Source organism: Homo sapiens, chromosome 18 (assembly GCF_000001405.40).
Source record: "Homo sapiens chromosome 18, GRCh38.p14 Primary Assembly".
Lineage (NCBI taxonomy): Eukaryota > Metazoa > Chordata > Mammalia > Primates > Hominidae > Homo > Homo sapiens.
This window is the reverse complement of record NC_000018.10, coordinates 24,850,066-24,854,010: the sequence shown is the minus strand read 5'-3', so window position 1 is coordinate 24,854,010 and position 3,945 is coordinate 24,850,066.

Genomic DNA, 3,945 nt, shown 5'->3' with positions numbered 1-3,945 from the left:
TTTGTTGCAAAGATAATTATTGAGCACCTACTATGGGCTGGGTGCTTCTCTAACAACTTAATGTAGGAACAATGAACAAATCAGACAAAGCTTCTGCTCCCATAGAGCTTAAACTCATGGAGAAGGCAGATTAAGCAAGTAAACAAACAAACCAAATACTCCGAGATGACAACAAATGCTAGAAATAAAATAAAACAGGCTGGTGTGAGAAAGACTGATGGGGGTAGGGCTCTGTGTTAATGAGGTGCTGAGAAAAGCCAACCTGGGAGGCGATATTGGAGTTGAGATTAGAATTAGACAAAGGAGTCTGTCCGTCCTGAAGGCAGAGATGACAGTTGTAGGCAGATGGAATAGCAAGGGCACAGACTCATCTGAGGGACGGAAAAAAGGCCCTCAGGGAGGTGCAGCCAGGAGAGGCGTGGGGTAGAGGTCAGAGCCCCACAGTGTCGGTGGTCACCACAAGGCATTTGGATTTGGGAAGAGCTCCCAGAGTCACCCTCTTAACAACAAGGCTCCACTGGGTGACCTGGCCATCTCAAATTAGTCATTCTAAATTCTAGGCAGAATCAGACATGCTTTTGCAGGTAGTTTGGCCCAGGTTAGCCACCTGCCCCTCAGCATTCACCCAAAGCTTCTGGAGCCAATGTGAGAATCATAAAGCTGCCCCTCCCCCACCTGCCATCACTGTCACCAATGATGGAAGTGGAGGGTGTGGCCTCGCTTGACTCCTCCTCATAAACCCAACCCTCCCCAAGCAGCTGGCGACAGCAGGTGGCCTCTGCAGGTCCCTGGACCTTCTCTCCTTTACCCAGCACTTCTGCTCCTGATGAGCCCCACCACTGTGGTGTCCTGCACATGCCCTGAAGCACAGCGCTGACTCCCTCTGGGGCCTCCTGCACCCACAGTACCCCGCCCCCCTCCCAAGGTGAGCCCAGCCCCAAGAGCTGCCAATGCCCCACCCCAGCTACTTTTAGTGCATTCCTGTGTTCACCCCACTGACATTCCCTGAGCAACTGTAAAATGTCAGGGCCCTGTGCTGGGTGGTTTCTGCTGCATCCCAATCCCTCCCCCAACCCGGGGGCAGTGGAAGACGAAGTACTTACTCCCAGATTCACTGGTTTACCTCCATTCTACCGCCACCCATTCATCCAAGCCCACCTCACCTCTCACTTACAATACAACAATGGTATGCTGGCTCTAGTTCCTTCTTTGTTTTGTTTTTGTTTGTTTGTTTGTTTGTTTGTGTTTTTGAGACAGAGTCTCACTCTGTCACCCAGGCTGGAGTGCAGTGGCACGATCTCAGCTCACTGCAAGCTCCGCCTCCCAGGTTCACGCCATTCTCCTGCCTCAGCCTCCCGAGTAGCTGGGACTACAGGCGCGCACCACCATGCCCGGCTAATTTTTTGTATTTTTAGTAGAGACGGGGTTTCACCACGTTAGCCAGGATGATCTCCATCTTCTGACCTCATGATCTGCCCACTCAGCCTCCCAAAGTGCTGGGATTACAGGCATGAGCCACCACGCCCAGCCTCTAGTTCCTTCTTGAAATTACTTTATACCAGATCATGGAATAACAATCACAACACTCTTATTTGGGACAGAGTCTAGCCATGTGATGAAGGGTGGGGTCTTTACAGCCAGGCCAACCTGGCTTCCAATTCCAGTTTTGCTACTTCCTACTGTGTGACGTCGGACAAGAACTTTAACCTTACAACAGTTCAACTCCCACCTCTATAAAATATGAAGATATGATTTCTACCTTAAAGCGTTGCTGTAAGAAAGAAATGATATAAAATAAACTATGTAAGTCACTTATCATAGTGCCTAACCCTGTAAGCACTTGATAAAAGGTCATTTTCATTTTGCTTTTGTTATAATCCCCAGGGTTTGTAAACAGGGCCTGGCTTTTGTTTGTGTCTGTGTTCATCCTCTGGTCATTACATACAGATAGTATCAAGAAACATGTGTTCTAACCAAAGGAGTCAATTCCTGAATGCTTCATGCCAACCAACCAGAGAGCACACTCTATACAGTAGAAGGAAGGTGAGGGAGGAGGTGAAGGTGAAACAGTAGAAAGAATTAATACCCACGGAGGGCTACTCTGGGCCAGGCACTCTTCTCAATATGTTATAGCTTTCAAAAAACTTAATCCTCAACACAACCTCAGGAGGTAGATATTATTAAGCCCATTTTTGCAGAAGAGGAAACTAAGGCACAAGCAATTTGAGCTTCAGTAATTTCAGCAAGGCCACACAGTCAGTAAGTGGTAGAAGTGAGATCTGAACCCCAGCAGACAGGCTCCAAGACTGTACTCTTAACCACATGCTAATCAAGACTCGAGGTCATTTTTGAAAGAGCAAAATGCAGGGATGAGGAAGTCAGCAGTTTGATTACTTCCAGGATCCACATGACAGTTACAGATGAGCTGAAAATTTTTCTGGACATAGGGATTTAGGGAAGAAGACATAAAAGTGTCTCAACTAGAGTCAGAATGGATGGAAAGGAAAAGATGAGAGAAGGAAACCCAAAGGCTGGGCTAATCTAATGCATCAGGTTAAGAGGCGGGAGCAGAGCTTTTACAAATACATCAGAGAGAAAAAAGAAATATCAAGGAGAAAGTGGTCCCATTAATAAATAAGGAAGGGAAAAATAAATCAATGAAGATCTTTCAGTGGCTGAACTCCTCAACTTGCTTTTCAAAATTGGATTTTAAGGAGAAAAGTAAAGAGGTAGAAGTCAGAAGAAGCTGAGCGATACCTTGATAGAAGCTATCAAAGGAAGCAGATGTGAATAGAAGGACATGCTGTTTACCTGAATCAGGTATTCAGGTATATGCGACAAAAGCAAGCAAACAGGCTAAATGTCAATCAGGGGATAGAATCCAGAAGGTAGAGACTGTCCACGTGTTTTTGGCTCAGTCTCCTATGTCAATGAGTGTTGCCTCACTTTCCAACCCAGTCTCCATGGATACCCCTTCCCCATTTATTCGTTTGTTTATTACATATTTATTGCCTAAGAGTGGCTAAACCCCCTTCTTTGCCCTAGAGGAGCCTATGATCTTGTGGGAAAAGCTGACGTGTAAAGAAATCATAAATATGCAGCGTGAGAAGCCCTACAATTGAGAAACATACAGGGGCATAGGGATCAAAAACAGGAGAACAAGGAACTCTGCCTGGAGCAGTCAGGAAAGGCTTCAACAAGGCAGGGCGTTCAGCTGAGAAGGAAAGACATAGGAAAACGGCAGGGCAGAGTGGTGGGAGGAATAGGACGTGCAGGAGTGTGGCATGTGGAGGGCGCTACAAGCAGCTAAGTTCGAGTAGGCACAGGAGACAGAAGGGAGGGGGGAGATGAGACTGGACAGGTAGGAGGGGTTCAGGTCATAAATGGTTTGTATTCCACGTTAAGGATTTTGAACCCATCTGGTGGGCTACAGAGAATGATAAGAGTATTGAAAGTGGGAAAGTGGTGTGATCAGACTTTCTTTTTTTAAGAAAAATAACTTTAATAGCAATAAGTGACTAAGACTAAAGGTGGAAAGGCCACTAAAGGCCACTAGAGATGGGTAAGACTAAAGTAGGAAGTCATGAAGAATACTGTTGCAGCAGTTCAGGGGAGATTTGAAGAGGGCCTGACATGGCCACAGGGACAGAAAGAAAAGAAAGTATTTGAGACATGTTTAGAAGATCATGCCAAATGCAGCAGAGCGCACATTAAGACAAAGTCTGAAAATAACCCATTGTGTTGTGCAATTAGGAGGTCATTTGTGCTAGGAGGGGCAGAACAGGCAGAAGCCACAAGGAGTGTACTAAGGATTAATTAGGAAATTCACATCTGAAGGCAGAAGTCAGCCTGTGAAGGGAGGAAGAGCGAGTTAGGGCCATAGGGAGATATGTGGGAGAGGGTGCACCATGGTTGTAGTTACCGGTGAAGGGGCAAGAACCTGTA